The following is a 26,368-nucleotide window of genomic DNA, read 5'->3' on the forward strand; positions in this document are numbered from 1 at the left end:
ATGACTATCTATAATGTAAAAGAAGCCTGAACAAAATGATAAGAAAAAGAATCATCTAAAAGAAAAATAGGCAAAATGATTAATTATCTGTCCACTTAAAAGCAAATTCAAATCTTTTCACGACAAATGTGAAAAGATGCTCCTTCTTGGCAGACATCAGGAAAACACAAAGTAAAATAGCAATGAGATATTTCTCACCTATCAAATTAGCAAAAGTAAAAGAGAATGATAATACATGTTGCTGGCAAGGATATGGGGAAGATGTTACTTCATATACACTAATGGAAATGTGAATTATTACATTCTCTTTAGAAAACAATATGGCATCATCTATTAAAACACTGAAAAGTGCATACACTTGGACTCAGAAATACTACTTTTGGGAATCTACCCATAAAAGTTAAATCATCCATTAAAAATGATAAATGTTCAAGGATGCTTATTTCAGTATTGTTTATAAAAATTACTGAATAAAAATCAATGCCTATCAGATGGAAAATGGTGGAAAAATCCATGGTATACTTGTTCCATTAAAAACTATACAACCATTGAAAATAATAACATATCTAAACCCTTTGACTCAAGGAGAGCTGGATGACAGGGAGAATAGTTTTCCATAGCGTTTTAAGTGACAAATGCAAAAAATGTATAATGATATCATATTTAAACCAATGACAAAAATTCCTGCCTATGTATATGTGTGTGTGAATGTATGTATTTGCAAATGATTATAGGAACTTAGAAAATACAGAAGGCATCTGGATTGTTAGACCAGTTTGTAAACAAGCAAAAAAGCTGTATTAAAAAGTAGATATCCCGGATAAAAAGTAAGCTGCCTACATAATAAAGCAGAATATGTATAATTATATCCATACCAAGGCAGAGTATATAAAATTATATCCATCTACATATGCTAGTAGTTATACATCTAAAGAGATAAGTGAAAGAATGGTCACCAAATTATAGATAACAACTAGAATTTGAAGTGGTTTTTACTAACCTTTATATCATTTTATACTTTTTCATTTTTTACAATTAATTTGTATTATTTAAACAATTTGGAAAAAGTTGATAAAGTGATAAAAACAACCAATGTCAGTGCTGGTCATTATTGAGTGAAGTCAACTAAGAAGAGTTCATATGGGACATAGAACCTGACCTCAGTTTCAAGAGACTATTGGATCTGGGGGATAGTTGAAGACAGAGGAAGTGCCAGGCAGGAAAAACTGTATAAGTGAAGGTATGGAAGTAGAAATGAACATGGGGAATTAACCCTGAAACAGTTCGCCCTCATATGGAGAAGCAGGAAAAAAAAAATAACATAAGCAAATGGCTGATATCACATGACCAGAATCAAACCAAGCATATAGGAAGTGGAAATAGCCACCATGATGATGCACGCACAAAATGTGATTTTTAGAGTTAACCTTAACAAATGAAAACAGCTTGGTTTCTTCAAATTCTACAAATTGACAAATATTTTGAGTTCTTAGTACTTTGTCCATGGTGACACCATGTGTTGCACTCAGATGTAAAACTTCAGCTTGGTAACATTTTCATTTTAAACCCTCCTTCCTGTCACTTTCCAACTTGGCTGTAAATATTTGCTTGGAGAAAAAATGTCACTAAAGATCTAAGCTCAAGCTTCCAAAAAAAGAAAAAAAAAGGTCATTTTGAAATAAGAAGCTGTATTCTGCATTTTAAGTAAACAAAAAGCCTCAACACCTATGACTCAGAGCTCATTTCAGAAAAAAAAATTGTTTTTATTTATTAAAAGCCTATGAATAGAAATGAATTCTTTATTTGGTATTCATTCTGATTTAAGTCCGCCTGCCCCTTTGAGATGGGAATCATGTGTGCTTTGCTAAATAAATGAAAAGGTTGTCTGATGTCACTGTTTCTCTTGTCCTCTGCAATATGGCTGGGGTTTTTTTTTAGTCCCAAGTGAAGAACTATTAATTATATAGAATTCTTGTACTATTGCCAACAAGGGAAGAGCCTAAATGTCACCAAGTAATGATCACCTCCTTGCCCAAACCAGCTAGTGTTACACAGTGGCCCAAGACAGTTTATTTCAATCTGAGAAACATTCTCTTCTATCTTTCACAAGGTGCCTTTCACTCTCAAAGTGAGAGTTCAAATCACAAGGATCACAACTTTACTATTCTGATCACCGTATTATAAAACAAGGCAGATATTATTTCATTTCTAGGGAATTGAAAAAGATACCCAGAACCATCAGGTAGCCCTTCTGATGCCTGATAGTAGAATGGAAGAAAAACTCAGGCCCCTGAAATGCAAATACTATGTCTTTTTAGACAATTATCCTTCTGTGCATAGGGTTGACAATGAAAAAAAAACACACACACAAGAAAAATTTCATCATTTCATGCTTTGCTGAATTTTAAGAGTAGCAACAAGGATCAGTGAAAAAAAGAGTCTAAAGAAAGAAAATGAGAACAGATGTTGAGACCAGACACACAATGTCCCAATCCCAGTCCTTCTCTCACTTGCCATGTGACTCTCAGCATTCATTTAACATCACTGAGTCTCAGTTCCTTTCCATGGAAATACGGGATTGTTTTGAGAATTGATAGAATAACATATGAAAAGTGCCCATAAGTATAAGGTAGACAGTTAAAACAGCTGCTACAAAAGCATCAGCAATAACAATGACGACGACTGTAGTGATGGTGATGATGGTTCTACTGCTGAGGAATTCTAGGATCTTACACAGGTCCCAGAATCTTATATAACCAAGTAGTAAAGGGCACAGGCTACTCATGCTCAAATCCCAGCTCTACTTTTAAGCTGTGCCTCATATTCCTTATTTGTGGAATGTGAATATGAAATGAGTTAATATATTTAAAGTGTTTAGAGCAATACCTTGCACATAGTAAATGTCCCTCTCCCTTAAATAAAAGAGTTGGACAAAAGCTTTTGCAAGTTCAAGCTCTATTATGTCACTTGGTCAGGATTATCAATTTAGAAGAAGCACAAGTACTCAAAACAAGAACAGTCTCCACAGTAAGAAAGACTTGAGTTTATACCCAAGCTCTGAAATGCACTAACTTGTGCCTAGGACATGTTACTTAATGTCTCTGATCCCTGGTTTCCTTCTCTATTCATTAAAAACTCAGCAAATATTTTACTGATTTTTATTGTGCCAGGCATGTTCCAGCTGAGAATAAACTAAGAGTCATAACACTATTCCTAGGATCGTTAGGAGGATGAAACCAGAGAATACAGGTAGTGTGCTCAACCCAGTGTCTGACATACAGCAAGCCCTCAATAAATGAGAGTTGTAATTCCACTACCTACCCAGAGGCAGATGCTATCAAAGTCAAGCTCTGGAGGCCTCCAGTAACCACTGCCTCACTGACAAATTATCCCAACACCAAGGTTTTTAACCATGTCATCAGGTTTTCTAGCACACCTACAGAACTAGGAACTATGTCCACAACTGCTCACCAAAGTATCAAGAGACAGACTCTCTCCATGGTTCTGATTCAAATAAGAGATGCAGAAGAACAGTACTGGGGAAAAGAGTATCTCTTAACGAAACTGTCCCAGAAAACAGTGCTGTCATCCCTAGACATGAGTGTCAGCAAACCCCCCGCCGCCTCAGAGCAGCTTCTGTCTGCCCCATTCAGTCACTGTACTAAAGTGAAAGCAGAAGGTGCCTGGCTCCCTCCTGGGATCAACTCTTACATCTAAGGATACAGAATGAGCCCTGGACCCAAAGACCTGAGTTCAACACCTTCCATTTCTTCCTGGCTCTAGGAACTTGGCCAGGTCACATTAGCTTATCACGTGTGCCTCTGTTTTTCATCTGCAAAAGGACAAGGACACCTAATTGGAAGGGCAACTGTTAAGATGTGGACTAAAGGGCTCCATCAACTCTTAAGCTCTGAGCAAATATAGGGCATATGAAGCCGAGTTAGATGCCCTGCCTCTGGGTGCTCACAGATCCACTAATAGGGTAGAGTGGAAAAAAGAGAGGCAACAAAATGAAGGAGATCTGGGTTTGAATCCATCTAGACACTACTATTTTTTTTTTCTGACCTGACCAATTTACGTAACCTCTTGGAGCCTAGCTTTCTTTATCTGTAAAATAAGGATTACAACACCAGTCACATCGGGCTACTGTGAAGATTAAGCAAACAATTTTTAATGTAATTTAAAATTTAAACCCAACTAGTATTCGTGTTCTACTTATTTAAAAATAAGCCCAACTACCTAGTTATTTAAGTATAAACAGAACAAGTTTCTGTTCATTTATTCCATAGTCGTTGGGCACATCCTGCACATACAGTATCGTATAAGGTATGAAGATGATGTACATGAATATATATTGCAAGTTTCCTGCATATAATCTAGTTAGGAAAATATTATGTAAAGTAAAGGAGCAATGCCAATGTTTAGTAATGTGTATTAAACACAGAAGGTATTTAGGTGGGGTGGGGGAAGGGGTTGTCACTTTTTATTTTATACACTTCCGTATCGTTTGAATTTCTAAAAAAAAAGTTTGTATCAGAATTGTTAACAAAAATGAATAAGAGAAAATAAATGTTTAGAAGGTGTCAAAGATGTTAATCATCCTTTAGAAGCTCTTAAAATGAATGTAGTCATTAAACATCAATCATATGCTTTCGTGCAGAGGACTGTGTTATACCCTGAGATTGAATAGTGGAATGGGTAAGCCCCTGCTTTCAAGGAAATTTCACTCTAGTGGGAGAGATGAACACGTGGAGATTTGTAACACAGCACTTCAAGAGGGGCGTTTAAAGAGTACTGAGGGAACACGAGCTTCCTGAGAGAAAGGGACCTCTGAGTGGATGTCACTTTTAAGATGGATCCTAATGCATGAGGAGAGTCTACAGGACAAATGAATAGAACACATTCTCCAAACAGGGAGTGAAAGTAGCACCTGCAAAGGTATGAAAAGCATATGTGATATGTATTTCATATGTGGTATGGGTTTGTATGTAAGTGCATAGATGTGAGTGTGTGTGAGGCTGCATATGATGTGTGTGGGTAGGTGTGCATGTGTGAGTATGGTAGTGAGTGATGTAGGTGTAATGCTGTGTATATGTGTGCGAAGGCATGTCTAATGCTGTGTATATGTATAGAAGGCTGTGTGTGATGCTGTGTGCATGTGGGGGGTGTTTGTATTTATGAATGTGTGAAATTGTGTGTGAGTGGTGTGAATGTAATGCGTACGCATGTATGTCAGGGTGTGTGTGACTCTGTGTGTGAAGGTGTGTGTGTATGTGCATAAGTGTGTAGGTGTGTGGGTGTGAGGGTAGTGTGTGTGTACGGTGTGAGCATGTGTGTGTGTTGTGTGTCACAGGAACATGAGGAGGGAGTAAGACGGCCAGATGGTGAAAGGCCTTGAAGTCTATAGTCAGGAATTTGAACAGTATGCCTTGGGCAATAGGGAGCACTTTATGTTTTTGATCTGGGAGTAACACGATCAAAGCCATGTTCTAGAAAGATGTGTCACATCTGTGGAAGGGCCCATACTGGAGGCCAGGAGATGAGCTGGGAGGCTCTGAGGATGGGCCAGAATGGGGGCAAGGAGGCTGGAGAGGAGAAGATTAATTGAAATCATTTTGTCATCACTGCTACTTCTGGGTGGCATGTAAGGGTGTTTACTATTCATTTTTCATTTCCCCCCCCGCCAGGTTAAATAAATAAATAAATAATACATGACTGTAGAAGTTGTCCATTCGATGGAAGACAGGTCTGAAAACAAGCCAAAAAAAACACCTCCTCCAAAGTTGTTGAGAAACCCAGCCTGTCCAAATGGAGTACCCAACTTGACCCAAGCAAGAGCACACTCTCCAGGTTATACAAAGCATGTCTGCTAGGCAAACAGCTCCCCTCCCAGCACCAACAGCACACCAACAACTGGAGTCTCCAGTCATGGATGAATGGAGAAACAGAGTTCGTGACTTTCTGTGGTACAATGTGTATTTCACAAATAATTGTCTTATCATGTCAAAGCTAAGTCCAGGCTGCAAGTCTACCTGGAATGTGTCTTGTGCAGTTTGAGATTTTCCTTTACATTTTTTCTAAGCCGGGGGTAAGACTGGTCTTGCTTCATGCGGGCTCTGGTCGCTCCCTCTTAGGGCTAGTATTTCCCTCTCTGCTTTTCCTTCCCTTCCTGCATCTCTCCCTTCTCCTCACCACCACCCTCCCCACCCCACCCCCACCTCCCACCGAGTTCTCTGTCTCTGCTTCCTCTTTCCCACTGTCTGGTTGTATTTGAAGACTTAAGCTATCCCTGTCTCTCTATTTCTCTTAGCTCTGCCCCCTACCCACTCCTTCCTTTGCCTCTTCCCCTCTCTTCTTTCCTCTCTCCCTATATTCTCACCCTGCATCCCTTCCTGGTATGTACAAAAGATTCCATTTTTAAAAAGGAGCAAGGCTTTTGCTAGCACAAGAATCTGATCGACAAATGTGGTCACTGTAAGGCAACTAGCTGAGTCCAAATTCAAGAAAAAAAAAAATCTTGTCAAAGAGAGAGTGCTGAATGGTGGCCATTCATTTTGAGGGAGGTGGGTGAATCCTGTGGCTCCCAGTTGTCCCTGCACACCAGTATCACCAGGCAGTCTTCCAGCTGGGAAATCCCTATTTGCCAATAAGCCCTGGCGAGCCCCCATTCCTTTCCACTGGGAGCGAGGTGGCACTGCTGCTGTCACATTGCATGTACTGCTCAGCTACTCCTTCCGCTCAGCTCAGAAAAAGAAAAAGCCATAAAATTCAGAATCAGCTAATGTCAGCACTGCAGGGGATTTCAGAGATCTCTTGGTCCAACCCTTGTCAGGTCACTGGTGGAGAGACTGGGGCCCCACGTCGCTAAATGCCAGGGAGATCTATTATTAGAAAACCTAGACCTAGGACCTGTTGCAAAAATCCCTCTGCCCTGGGAACACCTCTAGATTTTGAACAGAATCTGAACAGAAATCTACTATCTAGCATCAAACGTACAAGCAGATAGAAGAAGCTTAAAATAGAGACAGAAAGCGGTTCAAATGCACATCGTGCAGGTATGAAATCCACTACATGTCCCCTGCAAGAAGGATTTGGGCAGGGAAGTGTGTGGAAGATGGGGCTGCAGTGGTGGAGGGCTCTAAGCTCTGAAGACCTTTTTAATATGGCTGTGTTGTAATACTGCAGTGACAAACCCCGCCAGTCATTCCAAAAGCAAAAGGAAACCCCACTCTGCAGCAGAACTTCCCAGCCCTGGAAACAGATTGTCTTCCTTTTGCACCCATTTAATAACCACTGTATTTAACACGATCAGGGGAATTGTGCATTCTCGGAAGGCACAGTAAGGAACCTCGGTCTGCAACGACGCGATTCCTCAGACACCAAACTAAAATGCATTCATTGGAACTCAGCCTCCCAAAGCGGAAGCAAAGCCACTGCAAGGCGATTTACAGGCAAGAGCCCCTCTGAAAGAGAGGAAAGGAGGGGGCTTGGAAAGCAAGGGGACACACCTTTTCTGAGCTGTTCGAAACAGGCTGCCTGCAAAGTCCACCCATACTGCGCTGCCAAGGGTTAATTTTCTCAGCAAAAATTGGTACACGCACACACACACACATTCTCTCTCTCCTACTGCACCCCCACAACCTCTGCCACCACCACATATTTGAATCTTTTTAATCTTAAATTCCCAGAAATTCCCTGATCAGCCCTATCTTTTCGGAACAGCTCCCCCCGCCCCGCCCCACACCCCACCTGGGCTGGATTCCCACCTCATCATCAGTGAAAGCTCAGAGAGCCGGGCATAATTATTTTCCTACAAGGTTATGCCTAATTGGTCACTAATCTAATTGATCAATCATCTCATTTTTCAAAGCAGCATCAAAGAGCCAAGCTGAGAGGGCAGAAAGAAAGCATGCGTCCGGATGGCGGGAGGGTTAAAATTACAGTCTTTGGGTAAGACCCCTGGCCAGCTTGCCTGGTTTCTAGATACATAAGTGGACAGAAAAGAAATGAAGAGAACGCGGACTGAGCGAGGAAATGCTCAAGACCACAGGACTGAACCCCCCGGAAGTCTCGACGCTGCCCAGCCAGCCAGAGTCCAGTCGTCGACGCGGATGAAGTTGTTTCCCCGGGACAGGAAGGGTTAAATGGCTGCGCGTCAACTCGGCCTCGACTGGGGTGTCAGGGAGCAAGAGCCGCTTGTCTCGGGGGATTCCGCTTGGGGGGTTCCCAGGGGTCGCCCTGGCGCTCCGGCCACAACTTGGGCGGCTCTGTGCGGCGGCCCTCGCCTGCGCCTTTGCGCGCCACCCAAAACTTTGCGCACACTGCAGCCGCCGCCTTCCCGCTCTTCGCGGTGAGACGCGCGCCGCCAAGTGCCGCAGGCAGCCCTCCACAGCCGCCGCGGCAGCCGCTGCCTGGCTTCTGGCTCCAGACTTTTCCCCCACTGCCTCCAGTTCCCACCCAGGAGGCTCCCTCGCGGCCGCGAGAGCTCGGCGCCCGACCCACAGTAGGCAGTGCGGGCACAGTGTTGCAGACCACCACCTCGCCAGGTCCGGGCAGCGCCCACTAGACGGACAGGCGCCCGCGGCCGCCCCTACCCCGGCGCGCCCACCTCGAGCCTCTCACGCCGCGGCGGGCGGGCGCAACATATTCTCCTACCTCCAGCCGCCGAGGACCACACTCTCCGCTCAGCCCTCTCGACTCATCCTCCGGCTGCAGTAGAGGGCGAGCGGGCTCCGCTTTTGTTCCCTGGGGCTGGCAGGTCCGTGTGGGGCCAGGGCGCGCGGGAGACGCCGCGGAGCTGGGTATCCCGGAGAGGGGATGCTCACTCCTAGCGGCTCCGCTGGCAGCAGTAGTGGCGGTGGCAGCAGAGGCAGCGGTAGCAACAGCAGCAGTAGCAGCAGCAGCAGCAGTAGAGATAGTGCCGGCTCTCTGCAGGCCACATCTTTCATACCTTATACATCACTACCGCATTCCCCCGAATAGGGGAGCCCCTCAGCATTTCGCCACCTAGCGCGGAATGCTGCTGCAGGAAGAGGTGGCGCGGCCTGACCGACCTGGCCTGAATGTGAGCTCTGAGGGGGAAGGACCTCAGCACCCACTCGCAGACTCCCTTCTCCGCTACGGTCACAGTGAGGTCTACAACTTGCAGCCATTCTGCAGTCTTCAGTTTGCAGTTCTCAGTGTCTGCTCCCCTGGGAAGTATGGACTTCAGGTTAAGCAAAAGTGATTTACTGGGGAGAGCCCTCTCTGTGCTGCCTCTAGGGTCTTGGCCTGCACGTGCTTTTACACAGCCTCCTCCTTCTTGGGGTGTTCACAGGTGCAAGATTTTGCAGCAGCAGACACACACTCTTCTGCAGGTACATAAACCCCTGAGACATGTTATGCACACCCCACAATCAAGTGTGTCGGCACTGAAGCAGGCAGACCAGGGTTTCAGTTGTAGCTGTGTGGTCTTATCAAACGACCAAATGATTGAGCTTCCATTTCTTCATCTACAAAATGGGAACCATATGTCTCATATAATTGTGAGAATCACATGAGACAAGCACAGAGCTTGACACATGGTAAGTGATAGCAAAACATGAGTTTTTCTTCCTTCATCTGATGCAGGTCTGCCCTTCCTGAGGTAATTATATATCAGTAACAATTCACTCATCAATAAATATTTTTGTGTGCTTACTATGAGCCTACCTCTACTTTATGGAGAGGAGCAGAACATTCAAAAGAACACAGACAAGTAATGTTTATTCTCTTGTAACCTGCTCTTTAGTAAGACGGAAAATAAACAAGTAAATCAGCAAGAAACTATTGGATAGTAATAATCGCTATTGACCAAAATTTAAGTAGATGGCGACATGTGATAGAAAATGACTAGGGTAGGACATCAGGCTGGGCATTTGGGAAAGAGGCCTCCAAGCACATGACCACTAATCTGAGATCTGTATGATAAGGAACCAGTCATTAGAAATAGAGGGAACAAGAGCCAAGGCCCTGAAGAAGGAACAGGTTGAATGTGTTTGAATAGCAGAAGGAAGGAAGTGTGGCTAGAATGTAGCAAGAGTGATGAGTTGGTGACACGAGATGAGGTGGAGAGGTTGAAGAGGGAGGCTGGTCTTATGGGTAAAGATCAGTAAGGGAAATTGACTTGATGCTAAGTTTGGAGTTTTGGGGGTTAGAGATGTAACTGTTACAGGATTGGAAAGAGTGTGATTTTTATTTGTAAAAGCTCACTCCAGCTGCTGTGCAGAGAATGTACTGAAGGGGGCGTGGGTGGAAGGAGAGGATCCAATCAGAGTGTCCCACAGTGCTGAATAAAAGTCCCTTTCAAGTTCCCTGACCTCCACAACCACAGCAACTTCCCCTCTGCCTGTAGTTCCGCTAGGAAAAAAAGGCCACTGGACAGCTACCCTGGGGGTCTGGGTATGAGTTTCTCCTACCACTCTCTGAGTATCCTTTTCCTTAACTGGAAAATATAAATAATAATCTATATATTCTCATACAAGTATTGTGAGGATGAAATGTGACAAGGAAGGCACCTAAGGTGCTAAATGACCATTAATTTCATGTTCAACATTTCTCTACTTTCAGGTCTTCAAGGAGCCTCTGGAGTGCTCCTATAACCCTTCTGTCCTGTCCAGGACCAGGCAGGGGTTGCCTGTTTGTTGAGTCCATGAAAAGCTTCTCTCAGCATCTGGGATGCTTGCATTAGTAATGCCAGCCCCTGAACCCATCTGTCTTTTTCTCAAGCAGGAAACATTTCGAGCAGGAAAGATTTTCATTTTGTTTAGGTCTTTTCAATTTTTTCCTGTCTGCCACCTTCATCTAGTTAGAAGCATGCAGGACATCATCATATAAAGCACTCAAGATATAAAAATAGAAAGGAAAACAGAGCTGTTTGGGGATGTGTAGAGCCAGAGATGGCAAGAAAGGGAAACAGACAGTCCTTTCTCTCTTAGCAACAGGAGGAAAGGTTTTCGGCTGAGACACGTGATAATTTCTGATATCAGTATAGTGTAACAGATTCCAGAGGCCTCCAGGATCTTGCTCCCCACTGCTACCACAGAAACTCAATGAGATAAAACAGGCATGATTTGATATTGCCCCCCTTTGACAGATGAGAAAGCTAAACCCCAGACAGGTGAAGTAGCAGAGCTGGAACTTGGACCCAGGTGCTCTTGACTTTCTCCTTCTCTAAGCCCAGGTGCTTCAAATGACCCCAACCCTAATGGTGTTGCCTAATTCCCAGGGCCCCGAAGCACTTATCCAATTGAGACCCAGAACTGTAGATCGCCAAGACAGTCAACTCATTCCCTTGTGCCCAACTCAATGTATTGCACTTCTCTCCATCTTTTCCGAGCTAGTTTCTCCAACTCCAAAACTAGTATATTGAAGTCCAGATAGGGATCTTAAATGTTAAGTGGTCATAGAAACTTACTCACTACTGCTGGGTTGGAAATCAGGGAGAGAACAGATGCTAGTGGATGTACCTTTGGGTTGCTGCATGGGAATCAGAGAGAATGTGAGATCTGACTTCGAACCTCTCCTGTCATTTATTGTGTTTTCTAAGCAAGTTATGAACCTCTCAAAGTTTTAATTACCTTATCTAAAAAATTGAATCACTATCTGCCCCAGGAGCTGTGAAGACTAAAGGAAATGCTCTAAGGATTTGCTCATTTATCTATCTATGTTCTTAAATATTGGTATCATTTTCTTCTCTCCTGCCAACCCCACCACCACTGGCAACTGGTTAACAACTGACTCTGATTGTTGTTAACAAGCCTGATTAACAATAAAGCCCTGAGTCATGGCATTTGCCAATTTCCTGAGTGTAAATATCCTCCCCTTGGCTGATTTCAAGTTACCAAAAAAGTGTGTCACTGAATGTGGAATTAAGAAGAGGTGTGCACGGTCAGTTATTGTGAGTCTGTACTACCAGCTGGACCCATCACATCACCACTGATAAAAATCAGCCTCAAATAGTTGGGCTGCCCTTGACAGTTTAGAGAGCACTTTATTTTACGTTATTTCCTGTGATATTCACAAGAATCCTTGAAGGGAAATGATCATCCCTATTTCCCCAACTGACAGATGGTAAAACTGAGAACCAGAGAGATTGAGTGACTTGCTCAAAGACCAACAGCTAACTAGTAAGAGTTAAGATTCAATCCTGAGCCTTCTGGCTCCAAATCTAGGGATCCTTCTACGCTCTGTACCATACATTACCTGGGTGATCACTGCACAAGCTCTGCAAATGTCTTTCTCTTTCAGGGCCATGATACTAGGACCTGAGCTTCTGTTTTTCAACTGGACAGGCAGGAATAGTCATCCCAGCCCTTCGCAGATACCCTGAGAATCAAATGAGATAATGCAGATGAAAATAATTTGTAAAGCACCCTACAAGGATAAAAGTATGAATATTATAGTTAGTGGCTGGAGAAAAAATATGGAAACAACAAATCCCAAGCCCTAGAGTAACTTATAAACCACAGAGGAGGCAGGACCACCCTGCACACATTCACCACATTCACTTCAGATCCACACTCAAGGGGAAACATGCAATAAGATATTGACTCAGATCCTTTTTAAACGTATATTAGTATAAAGACAATGGGAATGTGAAGGATAAAATGATGTAATTTTAATTACAGGCATAGCCAGAGTTGTTCAGAAACCTTGTTGCTTTTCTCTCTTGCTGTTTGTAGAAATACAGTCATTTCCTACTCCAGTGCTGCCCCCTACCCCACCCACCTCCTTTGAGAGAGGTCGAGATCAACAGCTTAAGGCAAAGGGAATTTATTTATTTTTTTTTCTATTTTTTTTTTATTATACTTTAAGTTTTAGGGTACATGTGCACATTGTGCAGGTTAGTTACATATGTATACATGTGCCATGCTGGTGCGCTGCACCCACTAACTCGTCATCTAGCATTAGGTATATCTCCCAATGCTATCCCTCCCCCCTCCCCCCACCCCACCACAGTCCCCAGAGTGTGATATTCCCCTTCCTGTGTCCATGTGATCTCATTGTTCAATTCCCACCTATAAGTGAGAATATGCGGTGTTTGGTTTTTTGTTCTTGCATAGTTTACTGAGAATGATGGTTTCCAATTTCATCCATGTCCCTACAAAGGACATGAACTCATCATTTTTTATGGCTGCATAGTATTCCATGGTGTATATATGCCACATTTTCTTAATCCAGTCTATCATTGTTGGACATTTGGGTTGGTTCCAAGTCTTTGCTATTGTGAATAATGCCGCAATAAACATACGTCTTTATAGCCGCATGTGTCTTTATAGCAGCATGATTTATAGTCATTTGGGTATATACCCAGTAATGGGATGGCTGGGTCAAATGGTATTTCTAGTTCTAGATCCCTGAGGAATCGCCACACTGACTTCCACAATGGTTGAACTAGTTTACAGTCCCACCAACAGTGTAAAAGTGTTCCTATTTCTCCACATCCTCTCCAGCACCTGTTGTTTCCTGACTTTTTAATGATTGCCATTCTAACTGGTGTGAGATGATATCTCATAGTGGTTTTGATTTGCATTTCTCTGATGGCCAGTGATGATGAGCATTTTTTCATGTATTTTTTGGCTGCATAAATGTCTTCTTTTGAGAAGTGTCTGTTCATGTCCTTCGCCCACTTTTTGATGGGGTTGTTTGTTTTTTTCTTGTAAATTTGTTTGAGTTCATTGTAGATTCTGGATATTAGCCCGGCAAAGGGAATTTATTAAGGCAAAGACAGAGGCGTTTGTCACTTGGCAGTCCAGAGTGAAGCCAGTTCTTTTCTATTGATGATGTCATCACGTCTGTGAACTCTCTTGCTTGCTTGTTCATTCTCTCTCTCTCTCTCTCTCTCTCTCCTTCTATACCCCCATTTCAGAAAGCTTTCTTCCTGTAGGAAGCAGGAGGGGTCATGGCCACCAACAGCTCTAGGCTTCTATTATCTCAGGAAAGAAACATTATCTCTCCCAGTCTCAAACATATGGAAAAAATAAAATAAAATGTTCAGCTTGTCCTGGATTAAGTCATGTGCCTAATCTCTACTAGAGGGACTATGATTGACCAAGTCTGACACAGAATGAATCTTGTGGCCAAACTTCATGGACTGGAGGAGAGGTGGTCCCCCAACGGCAAGAAAGTCCTTTTGCCAGATAAAAGGAAGGAGTACTGGGGAGACAAAATTAACAGGCATCTAATGTGGTGACAGACTCAAAACTCAACTACTGCTTGTTAAATGTCTCTTCCACTTTCATTTAATTTTCACAATAAGCCTGTGAGGTAAGAATTACTATGTCTGTTTTGTAAATAGGGAAACTGAGACCTGAAGAAATCAAACTAATGTGCCTAAGCTCCCCTGTTCCAAGGTATCAAAGTCAGGATTTGATTCTGACACTTCTTGGCCCCAGTGCCTGCGCTCTTTCCATTGCATTTTCTGCAGCGCCTGTGGCCATGGAGTTCAGCTGTGGCGTCTATGAAATGAGGGTATCGCTTCAGGCTCAGCCCTTCTGAGAGGGAGAGAGGGGACTAAGAGCCATGTGCTACCTCTCTCACAGGTGTGTTTTCTCCCTCTCCAGTGCAAGTTTAAGAGAACGCTCTTCACTATCATTGGCATTGTTGCCAGAGTCTATGGGTGCACGGTTGCCACGGTGATTAGAGTGATTGCAGTGAAGATGGATCCTTCAGAAAAGGCGCCATGGCAGCTCTGTGAGTACCGAAGCCGGTGTGTGCCTACCCTTGCAACTACGAGCTTCTTTCTCCAGTCTTGTGTGCCATCTACCCATTTTCCAAGGGCCAGCAGCCAGCCAGCGCAATGCCTTTATAGGCTTCTGGCAGAACTAAGAAAAGAAGGAGAAGAGATACAGAGGGATGAAAGGTGGAAAAGAAATGGTGGGTGCTTTAGAGAATTAGCAGATGTTAAATTGTGGAGATTTATTCAGAAATGTGTTCAGATGATAATCAGAAGCACCCGTACAATGCTGCAATTTATGATATACCTACTGTGTGCATTAGCTCATTGAATCCTCCCCAAGGTTCTCACAATGTTAGTTTAGCACCATGTTTATACTGTCTGTCTGTCAATCCCCACTAGTCTGTGAGATCCTTGCAGTCATGGGCTTTTTATTGTTCATCTCCATAGCCCCAAAATCTATAGACTGGCTGGCACTAATATAGGCTTGGAAAACATTTGACAAATGAACGAACATGATGTATAAGTGCATGATCAAGAACCCATACAGGATTTCTGATTCCAAGTCCACAAATTGATCTCCCCCACCTTTCTGAACTCCTATAAAAATTATGGTCAGGCAATTAATTTGACACTCATATGCTGATTTGCGCCATCTCTTGAGTTGTTGTACTGAACTATAATTTGAAATTTTTATTGTTATTAAACATTTCACAAGGGGATTTATGTCTTGTTTTCACAACTAGCCTGTGAGCTCATTCATTCATGCAATAAGCATTCACTGAATTATGCATTGGGCATTGTTACATGGGTTGTTCCATTTAACCCTTCCTTCTTCTCCATGAGTATAATTATCCAGAGCCTACTGTGTGTCACAGGCACTATGTTCAGTGTGTGATATCATCTGTCCTGACAATTCAAAATCTCCAACCAAGCTGCAAACTCAAATGCCTTTAAAGGCCACATTAGTAAGCTCAGGGAGTGACGCAGTTGACAGCTAGGAGAGAGTGAGTGTATTTGGATAGGGCTTCTACAGATGACCTTGCAGCTTGTGCATCATACAAAGGTCCCCAGATGAAGACATGAGGTTGGCCTAAAATCCAGCCTGCTCTCCAAACCATGCATCAGGGTGTGGGGCTATGACTGCATGCAGGTGTTAACACCTTTTTTTTTCTTTCCCTGAAAAGCACTTTAGCTTGCTAAGCCCTGCACCTGAGGCTGCAATTGGTCAAAAGGGCTACTCTCCTAACTTGCATGAGGGCACAGCATGTGCTAAGGGAGGACCTATCATTTATGATGTGTGTTGGGGATAGGAAGGAAATAAACCTTAGGTTGCACCTCCCCACTAAGGTCATTAAAATTTAATTAAACAGATTGCTGCACAAATAAAATACTTCTATAAAACATATTCCACTTAGAGTAACCCCTAGTTTCTAGGTGATTCTTTATAAACAACTCTACAAAACAGACATTAGCCATCTAATTTTACAGCTGGGGGAGCTAAACCTCAGAGAATTGAAGTGACCCCTATGAGGTTATGGTTTATGATGTAAGGCCCCAAAAGGTTACGTGCATCTGGAGCTAGGAATGTAATTCAGCTTCTACCGAGTGACAGGACCTGGGCCCCTTACACTTGATCTTGATCTTCTTGCAGGATTCCAGGCTTTGAGTGTGATGTTTAGTTGGTGCCAGGGAAGATGAAGACTTGCTTATTTGGATTTTAAATTTGTACTGTTACCGTGGTGGGGAGGGAAGGTTCACCCCCAACACATTCCTCGTACACATGCACACATATGCATTCAAGGATAATTTGGGGTTCCCCAGGATAGGCACTCATCAGCTCTCCTGTCCCAGCATTGTTACGGCGGGTGTCTTCGCACACCAGGAGGAGTCTGAGAACCCCGCGAAGGAGCAGCTGTGTCTGTCAGCCTCACAGGCAGTGAGGAGTTGCTGCAGACAACAGACACGCCGGGGGCACCAAGGACCCATTCTGTTTACTCTGCCTCCCTACTGCTCAGTTGTTCGGTCCAATCTGTTTCAGGACTTCAGTCAGTGAAAAGAGTGAAAAAGAAAATCCTTTTAAACCGACAGCCTGAGATATTTTGCAGGTCTAGCTGGGAGCTTCCTGGAAAAATGAACCAAATATGGCTTTGAATGGCACAGACGAAATGAGGGTTCTAATTCCAGCTCTGCTGTAAATCACTGTGTGGCCTTGGACTGGGCAGTTACCCTGTCTGGACTCATTTTTCATAAACACCAGGCACAGACGAGGTGGTCTCTGGGGTTCCTGGCAATTCTGTGGGCTATGGCTTGAGAACTCTCTGCAAAACTGGACACAGAGATAACAGCAAATATTGGAGCAGAGACTGTCCGCTGGAGAAAGACGAAGGTTTGGCAGTTAGATAAGGAACCCAGACCTCAAACACATTCAACACTGACATCATTAATTGAATTTCCTGTTTGATACCTTTACAGGGCCAGGGATGTTTTCAATTAACGTGGGTTAGTAGGTGTTGAAGGGGGTCTATAGCAATGATGATGCCATTGGGGATCTGGCCATCTAGGCAAAGAAGCAGCACTGTACTGTACTAACAGGAATAAGGACTTCAAAATCAAAGTGCTCTGAGTTCAATTCCTGCCTCTGCCCTTAACACTCAGTAGATAATTATTTAATGAATAAGCTCACTGTGTGTCTTTGGTCAAATTGCTTAACTTTCCTGAGCTGTGGTTTCCTCTATTCTTAAGTGAAATAATAATAATGCTGGTTTTACAGGATTAAAATTTTACAGGATTGTAAAATTAAATAAGGTGATATAAGTGACCCATAGTAGGCACTCAAAATTATTAGCTTTCTTTCTATCTTCCCTTTTCTTGTAGGGATATGCTATAAAACTGCAAAAAGCTTAAACAAACTGGAACAGAGACATAGGATCCAGAGATGGAGCAGTGTGCACATGCCCAAAGGTGATTTAGTGGGTCAGGGAGATAGGACAGGATTTCATGAGAAGTTCCTTACTCAGAATTCTCCAAGAGATGCTTGGAAGTTTGGGACATTCTGCCTGTACTTCTGCCTTCCTTCCCTATGCTCAGGCCTGTTGGTATCTTACCCATTGTTCAGGGCTCAGTTCAGAGACTACTTTCTCTTGGAAGATTCCCATGATGCCTGAGCTACATGTAATCTTTTCTTCTCTGGACTTCCTCCAGTGCTTCAAGTGTGCATCCATTCCTTTGGACTTTGTGCTATAGCCATTTGCCTCCAAATCTAACATCCCCTATAGGCCATAAGTTCCTGTAGGTTAGAGACCAAGTGGGTCTCACTTATCTCTGTACAGATACATCCAAAAGATGTAGGGCCTGGCACAGAGAATAGCCCAGTCGATGTGTGTGAAATAAACTGACCAGGCTTCCTAAGAGGAAATTAGAGAGGGGATGGGAGGAGATCCATGATTTTGACAGACTCTTCCAAACCCAATTAAAGAGTCCTAATTCTTTGTTCAAACCATGAAAAGCAGGCAAGATACAGCTTTATCCACAAAGAATGGTCTGGTTAGGAGCTGGGCTGGCCTAATTGAAATAATAAAGTAATGATGATAGATAACACTTACATAGGTCTTACTAAGGACCAAGCATTGCTTTAAGTGCCTTATACATATTAAACCATTTAACCTTCACAATAACCCTATGAGGCTAAGACTATTACTAAACCTATTTATGGCTGAAAAGTTTGAGGCTCAAAGACTACAATAATATACCTGAGAACCCTCAGCTGGTAAGTAGGAGAGCTGGGATATAAACCCAGGAAGTCTTACTCCAAAATCCACATGGCATTCCCTAAATACAGAAGGGAAATTCCCTGTGACCCAGAAAACTATGAGATTATGTTCCCTGGGAACTCAGGCAAGTCACTAATCATTGTTGGGCTCGTATGTCCCCCCACCAGAAGGTGGTTTCAGAGCCGCCCTTCTCACCTTCGCAAAGCCCTTTACACAACGTCATACATCAGCTTAAGGCACCAGTTTAGGGAAAGAATAGGAAGGAGACTAAACTGGCCAGCATAGAGGGGAATCTGGGCCCCTTTCCTGTTTCTTGAAGGTGATCCTGTCTGCCTTCCATGCACAGAGAGGCCTCGGCTGGGCCCTCCCACCACTATCACCTCTTCTCCCAGCCATAGGCTAATTAGGAAGCAACATACACATGGGGCCGTATGCCCATCCCTCTCCTCAATATCATCCTTATTGCCTAATCATTAGCCTAAAGTAATGCGCCTGTTGTGGGCTAGCCACTGTTGACCTCCCCAACTCCAAGTCTGGCCACTCTCCAGCCGGCACACTCAGTCCAGCCAAACCAAACCCCTGCCATTCCTCAAAAGTGCTTTTTTAAAATTTTTCTAATGCCTTGTGTTATACATAGGTGCACACTGTTTTTCTAATCACTATGTGTTGTCCCTCACCTGAATCTACCCCTCTGACTTCCGCTCATCTTTCAAAAATTAGCTCAGGCATCATCTTCTTTAAGATTTCCGTGGGACTCAACCTCTGCCATGCTCTACCTCATACCCTCATCTGTGTTTCTTTATTTGTGATGACACAGTATTGTCATTATCCCTTTGCTTCCCTGGCTTCCCGAGAGTCCATAAAACCCTGATGGCAGAGACTGTTTCTTTTATTTCTGTTCTCCAAACTGGGAGTAGAGGTGCTCAATAAATATTGCTACATAAATAATAATTTATGTGCAATAATTTATCACATAATTGCAATGTATACAGCACTTCATATTTTTCTCGGGCTTATCAAGAATATAAGGTAGATATTTGTGGGTATTTGTATCCTATAACAGAAACAATGTTTGGCCATATCCCCGAGTTAAAAAATTAAACTGTAGGTGCTGAAGCTCAAGTCCTATGTCTTTAAACTGCATTCAGTGAACCCCAAATAAATAGCATTTTTCCCTGCCTAGGTTTTGGAAAAAATAAAAAATAAATAACAGTAAAGAGAGAAACCAAAGTGTCAACTATATTACTGCTAGAGGCCAAGTTGGAGGACATGGCCTTAGGTCCCTTAGCCAAGTGACTTGCAAATACCTAACTCTAGAACTGGACAGACAAGCCCACCAGTCCAAGGCATTCCTGAATTGCCTTACCTGATACCTGCCAAGGTAAGACCTAAGGAATGAGTAAGCAGAGAGGAACAAATGCTCTCTGCAGATAGACCTCTCTCAAGAGAGAAGGAAAATGGATCTGAGTGAGCGTGCCTAGTTATTGTTTCCAAATTCACCAACCAGAAAAAGTACTTTAATTCCCCCGAGAAGGGGTGGAGAAAGGCCAGATTCATGCAAAAAGAAAATCCCTTCTCACAGAAAGCCAGAGTGAGAAAAAATGATTGCATAACTCTAATAATAACCCAAAAGACAAGCTTTGAGATCAATTTGTTTTTTTGTTTTTGTTTTTGTTTTTGTTTTAGTAGAAAGAGGGTCTCCCAATGTTGCCCAGGCTGGTCTTGAACTCCTGGGCTCAAGCAATCCTCCTGTCTTGGCCTCCCAGAGTGCTGGGATTACATGCATGAGCCACCATGCCCAGCCTTTCAGACCAACTTGAAGAAAAGTTCCATTCCTCAGATACCCCCAGGTAGAATTTACCAAACCTGTTCATGGATTTTTAATTTTTGCAAAAATAGTGAGTTGTTTGCAATCTCTATAAAACATCCAAGCAACGGAGTCTGAAAGACGATTGAGTCTATATTCCCGTAGTGCAGAGGTTAGGTCTGGGCTCAATCTGTCATTGTAGGAGACATCAATCTATAAAGGTAACTAAAAAGAGGAGAGTAATGAGACTCCCCAGATAGAATAGATAAAGTGAGATAGAAATAGACTAAAACGCAGTCCCCTAGAACACTATCAGTTAAGGGACAGAAAAAGAGGAGGAGCCTATAGAGGGCACTAAGGAGTGGCCAGAGATGTCAGAGGAAAGACCTGAGAAGAACTGGCTGTGCAAGCCCAAGGAAAGGGAGGTCACAGTTGAGGGAGGGGCCATCAGTGTCCTGTGTTCCTGAAGGATTAAGCCTGATCCTCCCTCCTCCAACAAAAGACCTCAGTTGGTCAAGAGATCGAGACCATCCTGGACAACATGGTGAAACCCCATCTCTACTAAAAATACAAAAATTAGCTGAATGTGGTGGTATGCACCTGTAGTCCCAGCTACTGGGGAGGCTGAGGCAGGAGAATCGCTTGAACTCGGGAGGCAGAGGTTGCAGTGAGCTGAGATTTCACCACTACACTCCAGCCTGGTGACAGGGCGAGACTGCATCTAAAAAAAACAAAAAAAACAAAAACCTCAGTTTCCTCATCTCAGTTTCCTCAACTGCAAACTGAGTATAATAAATAACATCTTCCTAAAGCAGTCATTAGGACTGGACTGTTAATGAGTATTTGATTTTCTCATTTTTGGCACGTTAGGCACAATTATTCATCCCAATTAACATAGGCAGGACCTCTGATTTGCTTAATCCAATAAAATATAGACAGAAGTAATGTGTAGCATTTCCAGGTAGAAGCTTTGGGAATTAGTGTGTGCTTTACCATTTTCTCTTCCCTCTCTGTCATGACAATCTCAATGTTCCTAAGTAGCTTCCTTGTCACTCTGAGTCCAAGAGTGAAAACAAAGATAACACTGAGTAGAGTCAGCAGCCAACCTATGATGAATATGTAACATGAGCGAGAAATAAACCTTTGTTGTTTCAAGCCACCTAGATTTCTGGAATGCTTGTTATTGAATAATAATGTAACCTATTCTTACTGATACAATACCTTGTAAAATTACTGCAAGAATTACATGCAAAAATATGTAATATGGCATAGAGAACAAGATAATATGGAAAACAGAGGCCAATTAATAAATAATGATTCCTTTTACTTTTTGGGAGCTGTAAAAAGTCCTGCTGTTTGGATAAGAAATATCTGGAGTTGTTTATAGGATGCAGAAATTGTTTTAATAGTAATTGATGATAGCCGACATTTATTGAATCATTACTACAAGCCAGATTCTGTATATAGAAAAATTCCTTGCTCTTGCTAGCTTATTTCCCTGTCGTTTATTTTTCCTCTCCCTGAATCACTTCTAGTGATCCTTTTCAACCAACTAGATAATGTCCTGTTCATCTCAGGGCAAAAAGGGGCTCTGGAAATCACGTAGCTCAATGTCTGCCCAATGTCAGAGCTTCCTTCACAATCTCCCTGGTATGTAGACATCCAAATTTTGCTAAATCAATCTCTATGGCATGTTGCTTGCTACCTCATAAGGCAGTTGCTAGACCATAAGTTCTGAAATGTTAGGGCCCATATTTGTTGTGTTCACTTTGGAATTTCCTGTGGCCAGCATAGTACCTGGCAACATAGTGGAATGTCAATAAGTATATCTTAAAAGAATGACTGACCATACAAACCAACATTTATTTAGCTCTAATTTTTATTTTCCTTGTCTGTAAAATGGTGGTAACAATACTAACCTCAGAAGACTTGGTAATGCATGTACCTGATATATTGTAGAAGCTCTATTAGTGTTATTTTCTATCCCTTATCTCATTTCTTATTCTGAAACAAAGCACAACATAAATGAATGTTGGAATACAAATTGAGCCATTCACTGGTCTTCCAACTAATATTTCATAGCCAAATTTCTGGGTAATTCCTGGAACAAAAGCATGATATGTATAGTGTGCACTTATAATCATGTACTTGCAGATTTTGGAAGGCAGTATAGTTCAACGATGAGAAACTCAAGCTCTACAGTCTGACAAAATTGGATGAAAATGTACTCCTTGTGGATTGCTTGACCTTACAAGTTTCCTATACTTACCAGTAGCCATCAAACCTTTTTATCTTTAAATGAGGATACCTCATAGGGTTGTTGCAAGGTCCAAAGAAAATAAAATGACATAAAGTGCTCAGCACAGAGTCTGCAACATAGCAAACATTTATTAAATATGTGATATTGGTGTTATTCATGTAGGATGTTAAGAGACCTTAGAGACCATCTATTCTTAGAGACCCCCAATAAATTCACAAGAGCTAGATAATTAGATCCTGTCTGTAATGTGTTGGCTTTCACTACCTCTCACTTCCATAAATAGATATAGCCATCTTTGACGATTCTGATGTATTAGTTAGGGTAATAGTGGCCGCTGTAACAAAGACATCTAAAGTGTATATGGCTCATATATACTCATATAAGTTATTTCTCATTCAAGTTCAGACTTGGTTTTCCCAATTGGTTGCTGGCTTTCCTCCACGTGATGATTTAGGGGCATAAGTTATTTGTGTCTTCAACACATGACTTCCAAGGACATCAAGCTTGCCTACATCAAACTATTAGGAAAGAAATGAGGAAGTGGTGAAGCCATGTCTGTTTTTTCATGCCATTGAAGTGACACACATCTCTTCTGTTCACACTTTTTTGGGTGAGAACTAATCACGTGGCACCATCTAAATGTAGGGGGTGCTGGGAAATATAATAGCTATTTGGCTTGGCAGCTATTTCCCAGTGGCCACCTCTATTCTAATTCTATTAAAGGAGAAGCATGAGTTTTGATGGTCAGTTAGCTGTATCTCTCATAACTGATAAGCCTATTGTCATCTATATTTTCTTTGCTATGATTTGCACGGTCCTAGAAGAAAGGTTTTAATTTAAACATAAGCATCCCTAAAGCAGTATATTACCATGTGGCATAACTCATAACAATTTCAAATGAATATCACAATGGAGGCAAGAAGTAGAGTGTAGAATGTGTTGGGAAAGGGAAGGAGGAAGTGATAGAAGAAACAAGAGAAAGTTAGAATTGAGTAGAGCTAGGAGAGGGCACTTTACACACAATATTTATAATCTTCAAAAGAATCCTTTAGGAAGAATGTACTTCCCATTCAATAAACAAGGAAACTGAGGCTCAGAGAGAGGTGGCACGGCTTACCCAAGGTCACACAATGTGAAACTGCAGACCACAGATTCAATCCCAGATTGGTCTAAAGGCAAATCAAACATTCTCTTTCTCTCTCCTTATTTCTCTCTCTCAAGGCAAACTTAAGAGGAGTCTCTTAGTGTAACTCTTTCAGTCTTCCTCACTGGCCTGCTCTGTTCTCCAGCTGGCCAAACTTTGACCAGTTCCCTTTCTTCTAGAAGGAGTAAGCTTGCAATTGGTTTTAATTCCCACTTCCATTGACATTGCACTGTAGTCTCATCCATAAGTAGAATTACAAGGATAATCTAATGCTCACCCACTTTTATTAACTCCTCTAATCAAACCAGCAATTTTTTTTCATATTACATGAAAGAATATTAATCAATTCTGTTTATGGCAAAATCTGTGAATTTTCTACTTTAAATAACCTAATATTTCCCTACACCTCAGTCAAATCCTATCTATATCTTGACAGCAATGTCCATACTACTTTGAATGGGAGAAAAAAGGATAGGATCAGAATTTTTAGGAGCAAAATATGAATTTCCACATTGCATTTGACTTTACCATTTCAACACAGATTGTGATCCTACTGTTGAAGGATAATAAAAAAAATTAGCTTCATTTGCTGTAGGTGATTTCCTCATAAATGACTCATATTTGTCTAGTAAATTTTGCCCAGCCCTCTCATCCAGGAGGTACTCATCAGCCACAGAGAGCCAAATACTAAGTTTGACACTGGTGGATGCTTATTTTTGATCACTTCAATTTATAGGAATTTTTCTCTGTCTCTATACACACACACACATACACCCCACCACCACCACCACCACAGAGAAGAGAATCCAGTACAATTCACAGGGAGAATTAATTAGTGCATATCAAATGTGAGCTTGACAGGGCTATGATTTAAATACAAAGATGCCTGAAGAATTATGAGTCAATATTTGAGCTCCATGCTAGTCTGATGCTATTGTATCCACCTGAACAAATACGGCCTAGCATCCTACCTTCTTTGCAGCTGTTTGAGTCTCTCCCTACAGGGTGGTAGGTCTGAAGGGGCCTTTTCAGTGGGGGAAGAGGGTAGGGAAGGATTCTACACAGGGCTCAGCAAGCTGGAAGACAGCTGGAGGGAACAAGCTTCTCTCCTTCACGCTTCTCTCTGCTGCCAGGAAACAGCAGTTCCACGAGTAGAACAGAAGCACCCAGTCAGCTGGATGTCCATATGGAGACTTTTACCCAGGATCTGACACATTAACTGTGGGACATCTGGTAAGTCCCTTTCTCCCTGCTGAGCCTCACTTTTCTCATTCATAAAGTAAAGATAGTATTCCTGCCCTCATAAAGTTGCAAGCATTTTTAAACGTTTACATGTTTAGGGCAACCCTTTATCCCAGGCTCTGATCTAACATTTGCATGCAGTTTCTCACCCAATCCTCCTAAGAATCCTATGAATCCATGGATACAAAAGGGAACCAAGGAGCAGAGAATTGGAGGATTTTTCCCAAACACACTAGAATAGTAAATGATTATATGAATGATGACAAAAAACAATAATGTAATTAATAAATTGGCAAAGAGCTTGAATAGGTATCGTCCAAAGAAGATATACAAATGTCTAACAAGCTGTAGTCCGTACTCTTACTGTAATCCATCTTGGTGGTTCTCTTTTGGCTTTAGATGGAAGATGTTCAGTTTAAAATAATTCAAGTAGGCTGGGCGCGGTGGCTCATGCCTCTAATCCCAGCACTTTGGGAGGCTGAGGCAGGTGGATCACCTGAAGTCAGGAGTTCGAGAACAGCCTGACCAATATGGTGAAACTCTGTCTCTACTAAAAATACAAAAATTGGCCGGGCATCATGGCATACGCCTGTGGTCCCAGCTACTGGGGAGGGTAGGACAGGAGAATTGCTTGAAACCAGGAGGTGGAGGTTGCAGTGAGCTGAGATCACGCCACTGCACTCCAGCCTGGGCGGCAGAGCTAGACTCCATCTCAAAAAAATAAATGAAATAAAATAAAAAATAATATAAGTAGAAAAAAATGTATTTGCTCTGACAACTAAAATCTTGAAGGAGTATCCAGCATTTGTTCTGGCTGGAGACAGAGATGCTCAAAAAGTGTCACCGGGGTTCTTTCTTTCTCTGCTCTTCTATTCTTTGCAGGTTCATCACATTCTCCCCTACTTCCATTGGGTCAGCACAAACAGCTACAGGCACCTCCAGTTTATATCATTCTTATAGTTCACGACCAATGGAAGACAGCATCTTTCAAAAAAGTTCCCTTGAAAAAGTTCCAAGAAGGCTTTACTTGGCCTACCTTGGGCCTAGCTTGTCTCCTACTGTGATAGAGGAGTCAGAACTAGGACTGAAAAGGGGTGGTGTGAGGTCATCCTTTGCTAAATCTCCTGGGATGGGGAAGGATGGTTCCCCAGAGAAATGAATGCTGAGCGAACATCAGTATATGTCAATCTCATAAGGATTAGATAAGTATATAACAAGAACCTTATACACAATACCTTCTATTTTTTTAACCCAACGATGAAATCATTCCTAAAACCCTCTTCGAAAAGTTCTTGCTTCCATGCATTAATATCTATTTAGATCATTGGACTTGGAATCTCATCTGTTCCAAGAAACCTTGCGTCCCCTTCTCTATGTTTATATCCCCTCAAAACTCCCTATTGCAGTCCTTGTCATTCCTGGCTTGTATGAGAGTTGTTTATGGCCA

The 26,368-nt window shown here is 42.4% G+C and overlaps 1 protein-coding gene across 4 annotated transcripts in view, besides 1 other annotated feature; it reads right to left on the reverse strand.

The window, feature by feature from the left end:
• The window catches only part of DAB1 (DAB adaptor protein 1), a 1,551,949-nt gene that overhangs the window by 1,246,807 nt on the left and 278,774 nt on the right, over window positions 1–26,368 (reverse strand). For 3 of the 4 annotated variants that reach the window (NM_021080.5, NM_001379462.1, NM_001353980.2), the window contains exon 1: window positions 8,656–8,919. The exons of the other annotated variant lie outside the window; for it this stretch is intronic. The gene's annotated coding sequence lies outside the window, so the exon portion shown is untranslated. Of the gene's footprint in view, window positions 1–8,655; window positions 8,920–26,368 lie in introns of those variants that run through there. 4 annotated transcript variants of the gene reach the window in all.
• Window positions 8,753–9,047: a silencer, noted in NCBI's record as "tiled region #8067; HepG2 Repressive DNase unmatched - State 4:PromP, and K562 Repressive non-DNase unmatched - State 20:ReprD". NCBI's record gives its function as "represses a minimal TATA promoter and a strong SV40 promoter by Sharpr-MPRA in HepG2 and K562 cells {active_cell/tissue: HepG2 | K562}" and the evidence as "EXISTENCE:reporter gene assay evidence [ECO:0000049][PMID:27701403]".

The sequence above is a fragment of the Homo sapiens genome, chromosome 1 (assembly GCF_000001405.40).
Source record: "Homo sapiens chromosome 1, GRCh38.p14 Primary Assembly".
In the NCBI taxonomy this organism is placed as follows: Eukaryota; Metazoa; Chordata; class Mammalia; order Primates; family Hominidae; genus Homo; species Homo sapiens.